The sequence below is a fragment of the Homo sapiens genome, chromosome 12, assembly GCF_000001405.40.
Source record: "Homo sapiens chromosome 12, GRCh38.p14 Primary Assembly".
Classification (NCBI taxonomy): Eukaryota; Metazoa; Chordata; class Mammalia; order Primates; family Hominidae; genus Homo; species Homo sapiens.
In genome coordinates, this window is record NC_000012.12 from 81,483,845 (window position 1) to 81,503,753 (window position 19,909).

General features: G+C 35.5%; 1 protein-coding gene and 1 long non-coding RNA gene across 51 annotated transcripts in view; one reads left to right on the forward strand and one right to left on the reverse strand.

Annotated features, from left to right (window-relative positions):
* Positions 1–19,909, reverse strand: part of PPFIA2 (PPFI scaffold protein A2) — a 501,376-nt gene that overhangs the window by 225,870 nt on the left and 255,597 nt on the right. The window contains exons 2-3 of one of the 48 annotated variants that reach the window (XM_047429793.1): positions 18,398–18,465; positions 15,906–15,970 (exon numbers count right to left, since the gene is read on the reverse strand). The exons of 46 other annotated variants lie outside the window; for them this stretch is intronic. In XM_047429793.1, coding sequence (XP_047285749.1) covers positions 15,906–15,926 — 21 coding nt within the window. In that variant the 5' untranslated portion in view covers positions 15,927–15,970; positions 18,398–18,465. Of the gene's footprint in view, positions 1–15,905; positions 18,466–19,909 lie in introns of all 48 variants that reach the window. One more of the 48 variants, XM_047429792.1, reaches the window with a different exon arrangement.
* The window catches only part of PPFIA2-AS2 (PPFIA2 antisense RNA 2), a 141,042-nt gene that overhangs the window by 66,740 nt on the left and 54,393 nt on the right, over positions 1–19,909 (forward strand). The window lies entirely within an intron of this gene.

A 19,909-nucleotide genomic window follows, 5' to 3' on the forward strand; every position in this document is an offset into this window, starting at 1 on the left:
CACTTGGGAACTTATAACATTATAAATGTAATCATTTCAAAGTATTTTATAGAATCACCCTTCTCCCCCCTCCCTTTTTTTTGGGTTTGGTGACCGATAAAAGTAAATTATTTCTTGCCCTTGTGCAGAAGTTTGAAGTATCCCTCGGGGTAGGAATCACTTTTAAAATGTCCTACTGTTTCACTGATGGTGCTGTATTCTTAAAGGACACTGACAAAAAAATAATGTGGCATTACCTGGGCGAAGGTCATTTCCTTATTAATAATTCTACAATATCCTGGTACTTTCAGAGTTTCATTTTTCTGCCCTATGAAAGACCAAATAAAAAGCCTAAAATGCTGACAGAATAGAAGTCAAAAACTCTTGAGGTGGCTGTAATGGACAAATAAAAAAAAATAGTCCACACTATTTTGAGTCTGGCACTATGCTAGACACTTTGGAAGAAGGGGTGGTTTTAACCACAGTGATGCTGATTACCTAGTGGGGAAAACAAAGCACGTAAATAGTTATATACAATGAGACAGAGGCTAGTGATGAAGATGTGTGCAAAGTGTTCTAGGAACACTCTGGAGGAGGTGGGATTAATGGTGACTGTGGGAGGCAGAAATACCCTCAAAGATATTAATATTTTCATGTTGTACAATAATATTCAAAATTTTTCCAGGCTTCATTTGCCATAATGAATTTATACAATTAAAATTCACATTCTGTAATTTAAGTATACTCCCATGAATTCACATAATAGCACTATTCATTAGAGTACTACGGAAATGAATTACCATTAATATTGAGAATATACATGCTAGGCCAGACCCTTATTCTAGCAAGAGAAGCATTTGACCAAACTTGATCTCAGCTTTTAAATCTCTACTTTGGCATAATTTAAAACTTCATATGTTAAATATCTTTCATTAAAATAAAAATAGCATTGCTAATTTTAAATTCCCATATTTCTATTAAGGCTATAAGTTGTGATGATTTTCATATAACTAATTTTGGAGATGAAATTTAACTACATGTATCAAAATGTTTTAAAATGTTTTCTTTCTTTGAATCAGTAATTCAAAGAAAGTGATTCAGTAAGTGATATGATAAAATTAACAATATAATATATAGCTACAATATAATTATTTCAAGGATATTTAGAGACATAAGAAAATGCTTATTTTATATAGTAGGTGAAAATTATAGGCTAAAAACTACTTTAAAATTAATGATTCAAATTATTTTTAAGGCCAAAAGGAAATCACTAGCTTGAGCTATATTTCAAAAAGCCAGCCTAGTAAATGAGTATAGGGATTATGAAGTTTTTGCTTGTCTTCAAATTTCTAATTCAAAGTGATACTTCCATAAATGTGAACCCAATGCATTATCTAGTCAATATATGCACTTTTAAGAAGACATCTCATTTTATTTTAGTTGTTCTCTTATTTATATCGTTTTTGTACAGGTTATGTTTTTCTTTTCATCATCATTTAGTCTTTTTTTAACTCCTTAATACACTTTATATAATTATTCTTACATATTACATACTCAATAAATATATATTTTTTAAAAATCCTTAACCTATAAGTTAGTTGCACCTGTGTCACTTCCAATATATTTTTCCTCTAGTGCTAAGAAATAAAAGAGTACTTTCCCCAAATAACTCACTCAGATATACAACTCTCACCTCAAATCTGTCACCCCTTTTGTGAATGAAAAATATTTATTTTAAAACTCTGTGCTCTATTAACTTCAGCCTAGATCTAAATGTTGTGTGCTAGAACACAAATGAATCACAAGTTCACATGAAAATTTGTTTTAATAAAGGTATTTCAAATTTTGTGCAAGAAATGTATAACACAAGTCACAAAATAGTAAACAAATCACTTAAAATATAAGTTTCTATGAGACGATAAAATGTAAATTTTTGCCATTATTGATTGCAAAATATGAAAGTCTGAAACTGCAAATAATTTGACACCCTTTATTTAAGGAACATTGAATGTTAAATGTATAATAATATAAGCGACATAATTTTTGGAACTAAATGACTTGGCAAGTTCCATTAAAACAGACTAAGTACCCCATCTGCAATTAAATTTATTAAATTATAACACAGATAATTCCAGCATATATGAGGTCATTCTGAAAGAACATTCCTATTTTGACTTTACTTTTCATTTAGCTCATTGTACACAATCTCTGATATATTATCATACATTTTTAGCGTTATAAATTAATTTTTAAATGAAATGTAACACATAGGATTAATAGTAAATATAATTTCACTATATTTCAAGCACTGTTCTAGGCACTTAATATGTATCAGCTTATTGACTATAAACAATAACCATATGGTGTTGCTACCATGATGATCCCATTTTACATGTAGGGAAATAGTGGCACAAAGAGTTTAAGTGATTTTCTCAGTGCCTTACATGCCTTACTGTCTTATGTGGCAGAATTAGTACTCGAACCCAGCTAGCTGGTAACAAAAGTTCAGTTTAATCACTAAGACTGTACTTCTACTTTCATTTTATTATTATAACATGAACATTGCAACATAAACTAATATGCCATGCAGAAAACTTTCAGGATATTAACACATATAAAACATTTAAAAACATAGTATTTCTAGAAATTATATTATTGATAGAATTTTCAGGTACAAATTGCCTTAGGAAAAAATTCTATTTATGATAAACATATGCCAATTTTTTTAACTGCAGATTTTTAGTGATAGATCTATTCAATAAATTTGCACAAAGATTTTCAAATTTAGATGCTGGATATTTAAATCAGCTTGTCATTACATCCTAAAACTAATAAGTATGCCATGCTTTATCCATGTAACTCATATCATCAACAGTAGGACATCAGCCACACAACTTCAGTTTAGAAAAGTAGTACTCATATCCACTCTTGGCTGACAGTAATCATTAAAATAATAATAGATGATAACATTTTTTAGTCCACCTCAAGAAATAATTTTTATATAACTGTCAACTCCAATTTTTTGATGAGGAAATAAAAATGAAACTAAAAGAAAAATATAAGATCTTAATTGAACCTGAAAACATATGCCAATCAACTCCATCCCCTTCTTATAGTCAAATAATAAACCATATAAAGCCTTGGTACCAGATTTCTTTTAAAAATACATTAATCCCTTTGTTTACTCAATGCATATTTACATTTTGCAAAACACGGTGTGATTTCTGTCCTTAGAAAGTTTCCCTTAGGAAAGAAAAACACGTGATCATGCATAGCACAGTGTGTTAAGCTTTGGAGCATCTGGAACCTCAATTTGCCTTGACTGGACTGGCCTAGAATATCCACTGGAGTGAGTTGGTTATCTGTCTATTTACATGAGGGAGAAAGGTGACCCCTGGAAAGACGAAGTAGCAAGGAGGTTAAAGTCTCCAGCTCTCGAAGCAACTGCTTGTTATTTGAATTCCAGCTCCATCTTTTTTAGCTGTGTGTTCTTGGGAAATTTAGTTTACCTTTTTTGTGTTTTATCTTATTAATCTGTAAAACACGGATAACAGAAACAAGCAAAGTCTTACTGGGTTGTTGTGAGACTTAACTAAGTTATTCAGGTTAAATGCTTAGACAAGTATGAGCACTTGGTAAGTGTTAACAATGAATTACTATTATTATTATTATTATTAATTACTGGAACAAACTCAAAGCTTGTATTTTTAAGGGTGGGAGGGCCTTGTCACTGGCGATTCTAGGAGTAAGCTGTATGTCTCCAAGTCCTGCCAATCTATAGGTACCGATATTGCCACATAGCAGTGGCAATAATCAGCTTCCATGGCTGATATCTCACACCCATGCTTTCAGAATTCTATCAGGCCCACTCTTAGGATTCTTTCACAGTCAATTCCAGTTATTTCTTTAAGGCAAGAAACAAACAGTGTAGGCATAATATCATGAAAATGACAGATGTTTAATGGCCATTGTGATATCTGAAAAAGCTGACAAAACTATATGGAAAGAATAATTAATATAAATGACCATAGAAGGCAAAAGAAATATATCATATTTAAAGGTAATCTGAAATGTGTGTGAGGACAATGAGGCCCATAATCTGATTTTATGTTTAACATCTGCATTTCCATTTAATTTTGTATTCATTATCACTTTTAAAGTATTGATTTAAAAAGCCATGTAATATAGTTAGTTAGTGGATACATTAGTTGTGGCCGATAATTCCTTTATTTAAACCAGAGAAAGTAGTTTTCCTATGTAACATTACTATACATAACAGTTAGGGAGGTTTGATGGTCTATATTTCATTGTCTGTTCCTGTTATTTTATTATTCCAGTTTCTTGTTATATTTGCCTTTGGAGAATAGAATCAGACAAACATGAAACCTTTGTCATATACAGAATAGGACCATAATAAAGCCAGAATGAACTCCGATTTTTATTGACAAGTGAGTAAAGTGTACTACGTTCTCATCTGTTTCCTCTCTCTACCACCACAATTCTTTTCACCTGACATTTTGCCATTTTTGGGAGGTTTTCAAGGATCATATCCTATGCCTCCCTGCTCTGTCATAACAGGGGATTTCACTGAAGTTACCCCCAACACACACACAAACACACCCACAGAGAGACAAAGGACAATACAAAGCTATCTCCCTCTCTTTCTGTCACCATATCCATTATCATGGCACCTGATACTATCTGAGTGAATTCTGTCACTCACTCAAAAGCCCACGGGCCTTACAGCCTACTCTTAAGACACTGATTTTACTAATTTTGCATTGTTTCTTCTGTTTAAGGTGCTCTTCCTTGCCCTGTCTATTTGGAAAACTCTTCTTCATTCTTTAGGGCTTTGATGTCACATCCCCTATTCTAGGAAGCCTATGATCTTCAGACAAAATTTGGAAACCTCTCCTCAGGTTTCCCATTGATGAGAATATATATTTATGGGGCTATAATTTTTTGTACAGTTGTCTAGTTCCCACACGAGAACACATGACTCTGAAGGGATGGATGGTCCTTTCATTTTAACCTTCTCACAACAATGTTTCTGAAAAGGGCAGGGTCTTAATGTGTTAGAATGAATAAGCTACCTAATGGAATATATGTATACAATTAGGCACAGCGCAATGATTCTATGACTGCAGGTTAGCCACATAAACAAGTATCTGTCCTATTTCGACAAATTAGGCCAGATCACCAATGCCCAACTTTTCTTGGACCAGATATACCATTTACCATATTCTCAATATGTGCTGACTTGGTAACATTGAGAGATACAAAAATAATAAACTACAGTAATTGGAATTATTAATGACTCAGGTATTTCATTAATTTTAGGCAAAGTATCCTTAAAGCATTGGAAAGAGTTTAAAATTTAGTTCCCTAGTTGCTCAGTATTCTAATATCTATTTCTGTATCTATATATACATCTAATAATATATATGGGTGTATATATATTATTAATAGGTAAAATATTCATAATAGATCATTATTTTTTAAGTATTTCACAAAATGCTTTGGAAGGAACCGTAAAACTCAAGATGCATTCCCTATGATCAAGGACATTACTTTTAGCTTTCTTTATTTGAATGTTTGCATTTGCACATGTTTCAATGCACCTGTTGAAAGCAACCAAAATAACACAGAGAAAAATCATTAGACAGTTTTGATTATGAACTGGGAGAAAAAGAATGTAGTTTAAAAAATTAACCTTTTCCCTACTTTTCTCTTAGTTACCATACTCCACTGCCACACAGTACAGAAAAGAAAAAATAAATCTATCTTTGAGAAATGTTTCATTTTCACTTGAAATGATGCAATTAGTCACTGCTCCATATATTTGTGTTTGAAACGTTTCTATCAAGTATAATCTTAGCCAGAGCACCCTATAGTGTACAAGCTATACATGAATAGTGAAAGTATTGTATTTGTTATTTGAAATGTGTCGATGCAGCACACTTAATTCAAAACATTTATGAGTGGAGGTTGACAAGTCTGTCCTTCTAACTCTTATGGCATAACTTACTATTTATATGCTACCTGTATTTCAAGATCCATTCTGTGTTCTAACACTATAGAGAAGGCCAATTGAATATTCCCTCAGATAGAAATGAAAGTTCTCTCTCTGTCCATCTATCTATTTTTCTATCTCTTTTTCTTATTATTACAATCTTTCTTTTGTATGTATCCACTTAACCCATTGTAACATTTTCCCCATTATAAGACCTAGCATTCCTCCTCTTATTAAGAATAAACACCTTAGCAGTATTGGCTACATGGCTGATGTTGAATTAAGCGAATTAAGTTGTTGGAAACACACAATTCAAATTTACTATGTTTGTGAATCCAAAGATAGGTTTACTCGTGGAGTTTTAGGAGTTATAAGGTCAGCCTTTGGAAAATTCTGAATTCGTTTTTTAATTATTTCCTGCGAATATTGCTTTGTAGGATATTTCTAGAAACGCAACCCACTGAAAATAGCCAATCTAAACATTACAATCTCAGCATAAACATTTGCCTCAGTGGAAGTCCTTAATTACCAAATGGAGAGAAATGCATGCAGGCTGTCAGCATCATGTTTCTCCTTGGTAGTGTCTCTCACCATTTTGCCACCACGAATGTTTCTAAATGGCCAACATACTACTTCTTCTCATTTGAATGTTTATGTTTGAGAAAATGCAAAAATAAGAGCACTAAGTGCAAACAGAGGTTTGCTGAAGTTTGTGTATTTAGCTCCTATGGCGTTCTGGATGCCAGATTCACATTCATTAGACATAAATTGATGTTAAGCAGCCTTGACTGCAGGAGGAAAAGCAACAACAAAAATCTCTTCATACCTCTAAGACTTTCAGTCAGATTCTTTTCTTACAGAACCCCATTCTGCCATTCCAGCACACTGTTTTCTGTTCAGTCTTATCAGTCTTTTCCTGCTTTATTCTTGTTTTTTGACTGCTGTTTATGCCACTTAGGCATTTGCTTATACTGGTCCCCATAGATTTTCCTCCTGTTTAACATCACAATGGACTCAACTTTCTTTGAAGCATACCTCGTCTATGGAAGCAAATGACATCCTAATTTGTTAACTCTAAGGCATTACAGAACTTTATTCCTTCAAGGCCTCTAACTTTACTTTTGGCCTTATCTTCTGCCATGTCCCATCTGAACACAATGCTGCTTTCACCTGTTCCTTTATACTCTCCAGGAGGACTGTGCAATTGTTTTCCTTCTGCCTGAAATACTCTGTTCTATGTCATCTTCTGAGATAAGGCTTCCCTTTTCACCCACTCTACAGTAGGTTTCTGCAACTCATTTTTACCAATTATGATCTCTCTCTCCTCTCATGTTTTAAGACAGTTACCTTTTAATGTTTCTGGAATTACTTTTTTTGTTTTTTTGCTTTGTCTCCACTGTATTGAAATAATTGCCAATCCAGGTTTCTTACTTTCAAACCTTCTTATATTTAATTCATTTTACAGGTAGGTTATTACTTATCACAAATCCTTGTTTGGACATTTTATTTCCTCATCTCCATTTATTTCCTCATTCTCCCCAAAAAAAGTCACCCCACCATTTGATAAATCCCTCATGTTTAGAGGATAAAATGAATTGTCTTTATTTATTGCTAGAGAGTGAATGTGAACCCTCAAAATTCATTTGTTGAAGCCCTAAGCCCGATTTGATGGGAATTTGAGGTGGGGCCTTTGGGAGGTAATTACTGTTAGATAAATCCATGAGGGTGGAGCCCTCATGATGAAAAGAGGAGACATGAGATATTGCGCTCTCTCTCTGTGCCACGTGAGGATACAATAGGAAGCAGACTCTCACCAGACACTGGATCCACCAGTGCCTTGATCTTGAACTTCTCAACCTCCAGAATTGTGAGAAATAAATAGCTGTTTAAGCCACTCGGTCCATGGTATTTTTGTCCTAGTATCCTAAATTGTCGAAGACAGCACTTTATCAAGGTCATCATGTACTAGTCTTTACCTATAGCCCTAAACCAAAATGTCTAATACTTCTCTAAAAGGAACACTCTGCTTCAGGGAAGAAAGAATGTTTACAACATTTCTGCTGTTCAATTTAGCCTCACATCATTTCTCTTGCCTGGAACATTATCTTATTCACCCTTCAATGTTTCTAAATCCTATATACTTAATTTAAGGCCTAGTTCAAGTTGTAGTACTTCATTGAATACTTCTCCAATTGATAATCTTTCAATTTTTATTCATAATTACAAGATCGAGGCAGAAAGAGTTTTGTGTGCCTGACTTTGTAGACTTAGTAAAAATAGCTTCACCATTTTTTTTTAGGAAATAAAAGCATAATGTAAGTACTACACGGCTTATGTTTGATATAATAACATCTGCACAAAAAAACCCACAAAAAGTCTCAATTACTCTTTTTTTTTCAAAAGTTTATCACATTCCTTCATGCATTTACTAATTCAAACACATTTATAGGTTTCCTTGAAGAGGTCCAGGCATTCTGCCAGAAAATGGGATTATAGTAGCAGACTAAATTTAGTCAAAACAGATCAAACTCCTTGCCCCTAGGGAGCTTACATCCTTGCAGGGATGATAGTGGGGTTGGAGAGGAAGACATTAAAGAAGACAGACAAATACAGAGTGTGTTACATGGTGGTAGGTGCTATAGAGTAAAATAAAACGGGGAGGGGTGGAGCTGCAATCTAGATAGAGATGGCAGAAAACACTTAGGAGGAGTGTGGCATTTGAGCAAAGGCCTAAAGACAGCAAGGGAGTAAGACATGTGAGTAGATAAGGGGTAGTTGGAATATTTCAGAGATGACAGAGTACTTGAAGCAGAAGGAGCCATGAAGAGGAGACCACATCTCAGAGGTAACTTAGGACTCAAGTATGCAGGACTCTATGGGCTATTATGAGAACTTGGCTTTTGGGAAGCAAATGGAAGATTTAGAGCAAAAATTGACATGGTCAGATTTCTGTATAAATGTAATCCTTTCAGCTGCTATTTGAGGAACAGACTTAGGTGAGGCAAAAGAGGAAGTAGGAAAATCAATGAGAGGACTATTGAAAGAATCTGGAAAAAGATAAAGGTGACTTGAACCTAAGTGTTAGCTATGGAAGTGATTGAAGTAGATAGATTATGCATATGTTTTCAAGATAATGTCAGCAGGTTGAACAATTATATGTGGGTGAGAGATAAAGAGGAAAGTCAGAGATGATGGAAGATGACTCAGAGTTTTTGCCAAAGCAGCTGGAACATAAGAAGAGAGATTGGAAAAATTATGAGAAAAGGTTTGGAATGGGAAAGGGAATTAGGAATCAGTTTTTGATGCGTTAAATTGAGATGTCAATTAGACAACTAAGTTAAGATACACATTTTTGGTGTCTGGAGTTTGGGAGAAGGGTCCAAGTTGGAGACGCTAATATAGAAGTCATCATTTATAAAAAGGTACTTAAATCTCTAATTCAGCCCAAATTGCTAAAGGTATGAGATAGACTTAATACACAGAGAAGAGGTTCAAGGACTGAGTCTTGGTACACTTCTCAGTGTTCAGATGCTGGGAAGACAAGAAGAGAGCTAATGAAAGATACTGAGAGAGTGGCTATTACAGGGATGGGAAACACCAGAGAAGTGTGTTACTGGGAGCCTGGAACATGTTACAAGGAGGAAGTTACTAACTCTGAGAAATAGCCCTGAGGACTTAAAATCTGTCACCAGATTTGGCAACACAGAAATCACTGATGTTGTTAATATTGTCAGGTTCACTGAAGAGATAGGGGGCAACAGCCTGGGAAGATACAGAAGAGAAAAATTGGAGATAATGGGCATTCAAAACTTTTTGAATCACTTTGCTGTAAAGGAACTGATAGAAATCAGGATGGAAGGTAACTAGTAGCACAGATGGAATTGAGTGTGTGTTTGTGTGTGTGTGTGTGTGTGTGTCTATATATATATATATATATATATATATATATATACACATTGGAAAAAATAACAGCATTTTGAACATAGAAACATAGATGAAGGCAGGTGGGGAGATATGATGTTCAGAGATGCTGTTTTCTCAGAGAAAGAAGCAGAGTCAATAAGAAAATAAACATGAAAAAGTTATTATTAGAAATTTCAGAAAAAGCAAAGTTGAAAAAGTGTCATTTAGGTTAGACCTAAAACCATAAAAACCCTAGAAGAAAACCTAGGCATTACCATTCAGGACAGGCATGGGCAAGGACTTCATGTCTAAAACACCAAAAGCAATGGCAACAAAAGACAAAATTGACAAATGGGATCTAATTAAACTAAAGAGTTTCTGCACAGCAAAAGAAACTACCATCAGAGTGAACAGGCAACCTACAAAATGGGAAAAAATTTTCGCAACCTACTCATCTGACAAAGGGCTAATATCCAGAATCTACAATGAACTCAAACAAATTTACAAGAAAAAAACAAACAACCCCATCAAAAAGTGGGCAAAGGACATGAACAGACACTTCTCAAAAGAAGACATTTATGCAGTCAAAAAACACATGAAAAAATGCTCACCATCACTGGCCATCAGAGAAATGCAAATCAAAACCACAATGAGATATCATCTCACACCAGTTAGAATGGCAATCATTAAAAAGTCAGGAAACAACAGGTGCTGGTGAGGAAGTGGAGAAATAGGAACACTTTTACACTGTTGGTGGGACTGTAAACTAGTTCAACCATTGTGGAAGTCAGTGTGGCGATTCCTCAGGGATCTAGAACTAGAAATACCATTTGACCCAGCCATCCCATTACTGGGTATATACCCAAAGGACTATAAATCATGCTGCTATAAAGACACATGCACATTTATGTTTATTGCAGCATTATTCACAATAGCAAAGACTTGGAACCAACCCAAATGTCCAACAACAATATACTGGATTAAGAAAATGTGGCACATATACACCATGGAATACTATGCAGCCATAAAAAAGGATGAGTCCATGTCCTTTGTAGGGACATGGATGAAATTGGAAATCATCATTCTCAGTAAACTATCACAAGGACAAAAAACCAAACACCGCATGTTCTCACTCATAGGTGGGAATTGAACAATGAGAACACATAGACACAGGAAGGGGAACATCACACCCTGGGGACTGTTGTGGGGTGGGGGGAGGGGGGAGGGATAGCATTAGGAGATATACCTAATGCTAAATGATGAGTTATGGGTGCAGCACACCAGCATGGCACATGTATACATATGTAACTAACCTGCACATTGTGCACATGTACCCTAAAACTTAAAGTATAATAATAATAAAATTTTAAAAAAAAGAAAAAGTGTCGTTTAGGACATCAGTCTTCAAACATGTTTGCTCAATCATCCCCTAACAGAAATTTAGCAACTGTGCCTCCTCACACATCTATAAATTAACATCTAAAATTTGTTATTCTATGTTTACCTGAATGCCAAGTATGGAATTTCTGATATAATGTAAATTTTGGCATATATCAAATTGAATCATAACATTTTTGCTATTCTACCCTCACCATTTTACATGAATAAAAAAAACATAAATTCTTCTTTAAAATAGAAAATTTATATTTTTTTATTTTGCCTAAATTGTAGTTCCTTTTTTTATAACACAGAAAATATTTTTAAACTTAAAGCCACTTACTGATCACCTAACATAATTCTCTGCAATAAATACACTTAAATACTTTGATTTTAAAATGTGTAGGGCTAGGTATGGTGGCTCATGCCTGTAATGCCAGCACTTTGGGAGACTCAGGCAGAAGGATTGCTTGAGCCCAGGAATTCAAGATCAGCCTGGGCAACATAGTGAAACCCCATCTCTACACAAAATACAAATACAAATAAAAATTAACTAGGCATGATGGTGAGCATCTGTAGTCCCAGCTACTCAGGAACCTGAGGCAGGAGAATCACTTGGGCCCCAGGGTTTGAGCCTACAGTGGGCTATAATTGTGCCACTGCACTTTAGCCTGGGCAACACAGTAAGATCCTGTTTCCAAAACAAAACAAAACAAAAGTATAATATTATAAGGCTCCAATTTTAAAATGTTCTTTTGTGTTTGAATTCTCATAAATTATTATTAATTGAAAATGTTAAAAACACATATTATAAAGTTTAATGTTTAAATATGAAAGACAGGAAGTAAATTTTATTGGCAATATATAGTATAATGACAAAGATAAGAAGTGATATTATGACTTAATTGAGAACTACTTCACAGATGACAATGCAGTGTTTTGTTGTATTGTTTGGAGACCCAGGAGTTTTTATAACTTAGAGCAATGCACAATAAAAGAATTTGGGATGAATGAAAGTGATGCATCTCCTCCCTCCTCCGCTTCTCTCTTTTATTTGAAGGAGATAAGCATTTTAAAATGGATATGAGAAAGGTGAATCAACTGGATTCTTCAATAGGCAAATCATTTTTAGGAAAGGAGCTCTTAGAAGTTTTAAATTATCCACAAGCAATGTGTGATCCGTGATTTAATTTTGGAGTGAATTAACAAAAAACTATAAAGAAGAAGAATATTTTTGGAGACAATTGCAGAAAATTGCCAATATATTAGATAATGCTATTATATCATGTGAAATTTCTTGGGTGTAATAATGGTATTGGGGTTATAATAGGAGAAAGTCCTCATGAGACTTTCTGAAGTCACTGAAGAGAGACACTGAAGACTTTAGGAGTGATAGATCATATTTTCTGCTTTGTAGTATCAAATATGTCAGCAAAATGTGTTGAGGAAAGAAATAGATGAGGTAAATGTGGCAAAACAATCATAAATCCACGTGAATGAAAGGAATCAATAACAATACTTTCTGCATACTCTGTCAGCTTTAATATACAAGATCAGAGAGTCCAATGTTTCTAGGCTCTAACCCTCTGGGATAGAATGGGAAAATTCAACATGTAGAAATAAAACTGAAGGAATATGCTGAGTAAATGTATAGCATGGGAGGTCAATGTTGTTACATTTATATGAGTAAAACCAGAAGAATGGTTTAATATGCTAAAAATGGGAGCCAACTTTGAGGCATAAAAATAAATCTGAGAAGTTGGATATCCTATGCCACAGACCACAGTCTACTCTTCTTGAGTATGACATGCCCCAGAGCAAATAAAGCAGACACGAGAGGCTCTAAAATGGCTTTAGCCCTACTGAAGCTCCATCTACCTGGAGGAAGGGTTTACAATTTTTTTAAGTCAACAATCAGTAATAAAAAGTTGTCATAATTAAAATTCCCAAATAATAAAGGTCAACATATATGTCCTAACTCATGCTTGGTTCTTCATGCATATGAGCTGCTTGCCAGCAGTGCCACCTCCCTAGAGACAACCAAATGTTTAACTCACCAATGACAAGTGTGACTTCAGAAATAATCCTCTTACTGATTTTTATTTGTGATAAATTAAAATGATAATAGAAGCAATTGCACCAAGCCCACATTTTCAGATCATTTTATGATTATTTGTGGCTCACGAGATGCTTCTAAATTTCTAACTGAGACCAGTGTCTTCCTTTTTTATCTTTCCAAGATTATTTGTAAATTACTCCTTTCTATTAATTGTCTCTTCATTAGGGCAAAGTTTTCTTATACACTTTTGGTATATGAGTTAACATAGGAACACATAATAGAGACAGAAGTAGAAAAAGGGTCTCCTGCCTTCCCCATGTTAGTCTTTAAGTGACATCCCTATTTCATTGATGTCTTTTTTTTTTTTTTTTTTTTTTTTTTGGGGCAGAGTTTTGCTCTTATTGCCCAGGCTGGAGTGCAATGGTGCGATCTCGGCTCACTGCCACTGCAGCCTCCCAGGTTCAAGCGATTCTCCTGTCTCAGCCTCCTGAGTAGCTGGCATTACAGGCACACGCCACCACGTCCAGCTAATTTTGTATTTTTAGTAGAGACAGGGTTTCTCCATGTTGATCAGGCTGGTCTCGAACTCCTGACCTCAGGTGATCTGCCTGCCTCTGCCTCCCAAAATGCTGGGATTACAGGCATGAGCCACCACACCTGACCCTCATAGTTGTCTTTTTTGATGTTCTGAAATATAACCTAAGTTCTAGTTCTAAAGAGTTTCCTTCACCTTCCATGAGCACTGCTCAGTTTCCTTTTCCATAATTTTTCCTTTCCCAGGCCTTTCAATTAAATTGGTTTGGAAAAGACACAGACAAGGAGGAGGGCACAGTATCCCAAATGCTGATAACAAACCAAAAACCTTAAGGGCTGCTGTTCTGCAAATTTACAGAGTTGGCATGGTGCAAGAAAGCAAGCTGTAGTCTGTCACAGATTTTTTTCTCAAATTTAGTTTGAAATAATTTTAGATGTATAAAAGAGTTACAAAGATACTACAAAGAGTTCTCATATACTCTTTACTCAGCTTCACCTACTGTTTGCATCACACATAATCATGGTACATCTATCAAATAAATTAAAATTAATGAAAAACTACAGACTGTCTTCAGATTTTTCAATTTCTACTAATATTACTCTGTTCCAGGATCCAATTCAGGATACAGATGAAATGTTGTATTTCATCAGGTCTCCTTAGTCTCATCTAATTTGTGACAATTTCTCAGTCTTTCCTTGTCTTTCATGATCTTCACAGGTTTGAAGAGTACTGGTCACATAATCTGTAAAATGTCCCTCAGTTTGGATTTTTCTGGTATTTTTTCATGATTACTCATGATTACACTGTGAATTTTTGGAAGAGCAGCACAGAGAGGATGTGTCCTTCTTATTGTATCCTTTCAGGGAATACAGCCATGGGGATTTTATTTAACTTATTAATTTATTTATTCATTATTTATTTATTTATTTATTGAGACGGAGTCTCACTCTGTCACCCAGGCTTGAGTGCAGTGGCGTGATCTCGGCTCACTGCAACCTCCACCTCCCAGGTTCAAGTGATTCTCTTGCCTCAGCCTCCCAAGTAGCTGGGATTACAGGCACACACCACCATGCTTGGATAATTTTTGTATATTTTGTAGAGACGGGGTTTCACTATGTTGGCCAGGCTAGTCTCGAACTACTGACCTTGTGATCCCCCTGCCTTGGCCTCCCAAATTGCTGGGATTAGAGACGTGAGCCACCGTGCCCGGCATCATGGGGATTGTAAAATGCATGTTTCCCATTGAGAAAGTGAGGTAAAGAAAAGAACTGTGCATCAAGCAATAGAAAAAAAATCAATATTCTGTTTTTACTGGCACTTTTGGCCTGCTGGCCATAAGCCAATACTATAAACTAGCAGGTAGGGTGCTGCAAGAATGTCAATACTTCTGCCACATTAATCTTTGCAGGCTTGCCGCCCCTGCAGTTAACTCATGGAGCATCCTTTGCCAGGACATACATCTGCCTCTGTACCATGCCCCTGTAATGTGTCTTCAAAGGGTGCACCATTCCACATCTGTTCTCTATCTTTTATGACCAACCACTACAAAAACTAGAGAGAATCCCCAACTGTTTGTTTTCTTTCGTTCCAGTTAAGAAAATTGATGATAATCTCAAAAAAGGGGCTATTAACTCTTATTATCTCTTTCATTTTATCTTCTTCCTCTCTTTTACCCTACATCTGAGCAGGGGGCCATGGTTAGAAGCAATGCCTTCAGGAAGTACGCACTCTTTCCCAAATTAATTCTCATCATGGAGGTATAGGATCAGCTAATAATAATTATATTTTTGAGGAACAGAGAAAGAGGACAAAGGGGAGAGGAGTCACCACTTATAATCCCTACCAGGATAGCTTTGTACTGTGCTAAACACTTTTTGTCAGATCCCATTTAAATCTGAGATGCCTATAAGGTAAGTATCATTTTCTCTATTTGACTGATGAGAAGAGTGGACTTCAGTAGAATTTAAAAAATTCTTCAAGGTTAGCTGGTTAGTAAATGAGTAGAGACCACAGGTCATAGTATTTTCTCTCTCCCTCACCTGGAAGAATAAATCATTCATACCACCTCAGTATGGGTTAAAGCCAGACATCTTGTCAGTGCTTCCTAAAAAAAAAAGAAAGAAAGAAAAGAAAGAAATTGTTTTTCATATGAGATTCTGTGTCTGGGTCCCTGATGATTTCCTATGCCTAAGTATCTACTTGATAATCTCTCCAAAACGCCACTCTTCCAACACTCTGTGTTGCTATTTTCAGTCCTCTCCAGGAACTCTTAAACTAAAGGACATGACCCCCATGCACTGACAACTACTTCAGCCACCTCAACTCTGACCAGTCCCTCAAAGCAGGAAGCCATCTGTTGTTATTTTCACCACTAACAAATATTCACGGCCTCATGTTTTCCCGGCACATAGTGAACACGCACTTATCTTCCCCCTTTGAAACTAGGTGTGGCCATATTCAAATCAAAATCCTGCCCTTTGGTAGTTATAAGACACACAAAAAAACTGAGGCAGGTATTAGAGTTAGAATTCTAGTCTCTCTGGCCCAAACTCTGACCTCATAACCACTGCAAGATACCCTCCCTATCCTATAGAGCCTAGTACTACACTACCCCCTCCCAACTTTAGCCTCCACATATAGTAAAGTGCTTGGAACACAAAAAACACTTCATAAATTGTGCTGAATGAAATCATTTCCATGAGTGTTTATGGATTTTGAGTTCATTTGTACCTTTTACCTAAAATTCTAGCCACTTTAATTTGGAGAGTTTCCAGAGCAAAGGGCACAGATCCCAGGCATAACAACGCTTTGCGTATACAGCAACCAATATCTTGTCAACCCAAGAAAGTTCCTCCATTGATACCTAGTAGAAATAGCCCAGTTTTTAAAGTCCTCAAAACTGTAACAAATTACTTGTTTTTAAAATTTAACTTAAATTAATACAATCAGATTTTTGTGTTATTTGGGTATTAGAGTATGTTAAAGCACATATATCCCAGAGACATAGAGTTTCCGTTTCAAAAAGTCATGCATTCATGTGTGCTAATGACAATCCTATCCTGACCCGCTATGTGACTTGTATCTCTAAACCATAGGCTTTCCTGAATTTTATCTGTTAATTTAACCCTGATTTCTCAGCAGCAGCTTCTCTTTGTAAATAGACTTGCCTCTTCTGTGTCTGACCTCTGCTCCTCATAATCAGATTAACTCAGATAAAGCTGCTTCAGGGAAGAGGTCAAAACCGTTGCCAAAAATAGTAGTTGCCCTACTTCAGTCTATTTTCAACAGAGTAGCCAGGAGATCCTGTTCACACCAAAGTCCAATCAGCCCTACTGTTAGCACTCTGCTCACAAGCCTCCAGTGGCTTCCGACCTCACTCACAGTAAAAGCCAAGTCATCCTTTAGCCTATGATGTCCTACATGATTTGAATTCCCTTCCATTGATTTTTGTCACTGATTTTTAAAAATCCAAATTCATTCTCATACAGCTGAATTGTCCTCTTTGCTTTAAGTATGCCAGGATTATTTCTACCTCAGGGCCTTTGCACTTGATATTCCCTTCACCTTTTCCAAGATAGTTATTCCCTCACCTCAGTCAAGCCTTTATTTAGATGCCCCCTTCTCATCAAGGCATTCTCTGATCTCCTTATTTAAATGTATGACACCCCTTCTTTGCTTTACATTTAATCAGAACATGTATCACTATCTAGCATATAATACATTTGCTTGACCTCTTTTGTTTACTGTCTATGCCTCCTGAATACTGTGTAAGCTCCATGATACAGGCACTTTTCTCTATTTCGAGCACTGTTGTATTACAGAGCCTTAAAAGTACCTGGCACTTACTAGATTACCAAAACACATTTATCACACGACTGAAAAAGTAAATGAATAGACACATCATTATTGATTTTTGCAAATGTTTGAGGCATGTATTATTATTACCCAATAATGCTAGCCAGCTAATACAGCTAATTTTATGTGGTCATATTTACTAAAACTTTACACTTTTGTTAGAGGTTTATCATTAGTATTTTTATTTTCAAATGAAGTTTTAAAAAGAATATGCTAAAGGCAGTATTCTTTTCAAGGTGAAAGTTGGCTCTTAGGCATATGTAATGCTCCTAACACTGCTATTGTCAATTTGTTGCTAAGAAAGATCAAAGGAGAAATTGAAAGCCAAGGATGCATAGAGCTAGGAGATATTAATGTGGCTTTGAAGAGGAATATATCCGAGCCCTGGCGGTGGGAGAGTTTCATAAAATAGGGCATTTTCTCTCAGAAAAAGGGACGTGCAGTTTTCGGAACACTTCTCTGTTTTCCAGTGGAACACCATATTTTCACAGAAACCATGCCCTGACCTGATTTATAATTTTGAGAAAATAGTTCAAATGCCCTTTTCTCATTATGAGAAGATCATACTGCTGCCACCACAAGCATTTCACCACTGATAATTTTAATACTGACTCTCAGAGAACCAAGTAAGTAGTTGAACTTAATTCCCCAGAAATTATTTTGCAAGAAAATTTACCAGCAGTTGCTGCCTACATAAAAACGATATGGAACTGCAAACTTGCCATTTAAGAATCAGCCTTTTCCCTAAAACAAAGGAAAATTGGTTATAGATTAAGAAACATTTGTGCAATGTAGAATCAGTTTTCAGTTCTGGCTGCATGTTTACCTGGGAACTTTTGAAAATATTAGTATGTGGTATTTCATGTCTATACTTCTCCCACTTCCAAAGATATTCTAATTTAGTGAGTCTTGGTAGGTCCTAGTAATCACTATTTTTGACAAGTTCATCCAAACGATTTAATGTGCAACTAACTTTAAGGGAAACATGTAGTGGGAGAAAATGTATACAGGCATATCTGCCTAATACTCTTCATTGATGATTCATTCGTTCATCCTAAATTACATCAAGTACCCACTATGTGCTAGGAACTGTGCTAGGGGAAAAAGGTGATGGGGTTTAGACTGTAGTCTAGAAAAAATAACATTGAGCAGAAGAGCAGAAAGTACTACTCAAATGTTAATACCACTGCTACATTAATCTCAACAACACACTATTGATAATTTCTTTCCTTTTATCCTCACTCAAGTTAATCTAATTTATTTGTAATCATTTATCTAAATAATATCTAAGATCTAGTATAACTAGTCATCTATAATCTAATGCAACTTGTACCACTCCACTGCTTCCCTGTTTGGAATGCCTCCTCTAGGACAAAACACACCCTCCATCAAAAGCCGTATGTCTATGGAAATTTTAAGAGAGACAGAGGAAGAGAAAGAGAATTCAACTTCACTTCAAAACCAGACAAAAACTCTCCACTTCAAAACCTTGCATATGGATTCTTTTCTCTAGACTAAACATTCCCACTTCCCATAAATAACACTTCTTTCTCTCTGATGAGTCCTTTCTGCCTCTCCCTCCCACTGCCACTGCCCTGGTCTGGAGTTCCTCCGATGAGGACTGTGGTAACAACCTTCTAACTGATTTTTTTAAATTTTTTTATTTTTATTTTTATTTTTCCTTTTAGAAGCTTCACCCTCCAAATAGTCCTTCACTATTCCAAGAATATCTCTGATATCCAGATCTGCTCATCCACGCTGTCCAAAAAAACAAAACAAAAAACAAACAAACAAAAACTCTGTCAAATTTCCACCATCCACATGATAAAGACCAAATGGTTTTCCCACTGACCACATCATAAGACCAAGTGGTTTAGCATGACACACACAGTCTTCTAGAACTTGACTCTGGTCAAATTCTCCAGTGCAGCTCTAGCTAGCCAAGTCTAGATATACAGGATTACTCATCCTTTTGTTATTTTGCTAAAAAAAAAAAAAAAGTTTCATTCCATGAGGAAATAAAAGAAAAAAAAAACTTTTTAGTCATTTATGTAAATTTTTATAAACTTATAGATAAACTGTGAATTAAAATCTAGTTTTGTACAGTAATTAATTATCTCTGGTCCCTAATAAGTTGAGCACATTGCTTATTTTTCTCTAGTTATAAATTTTATATTTAAAAATTGAC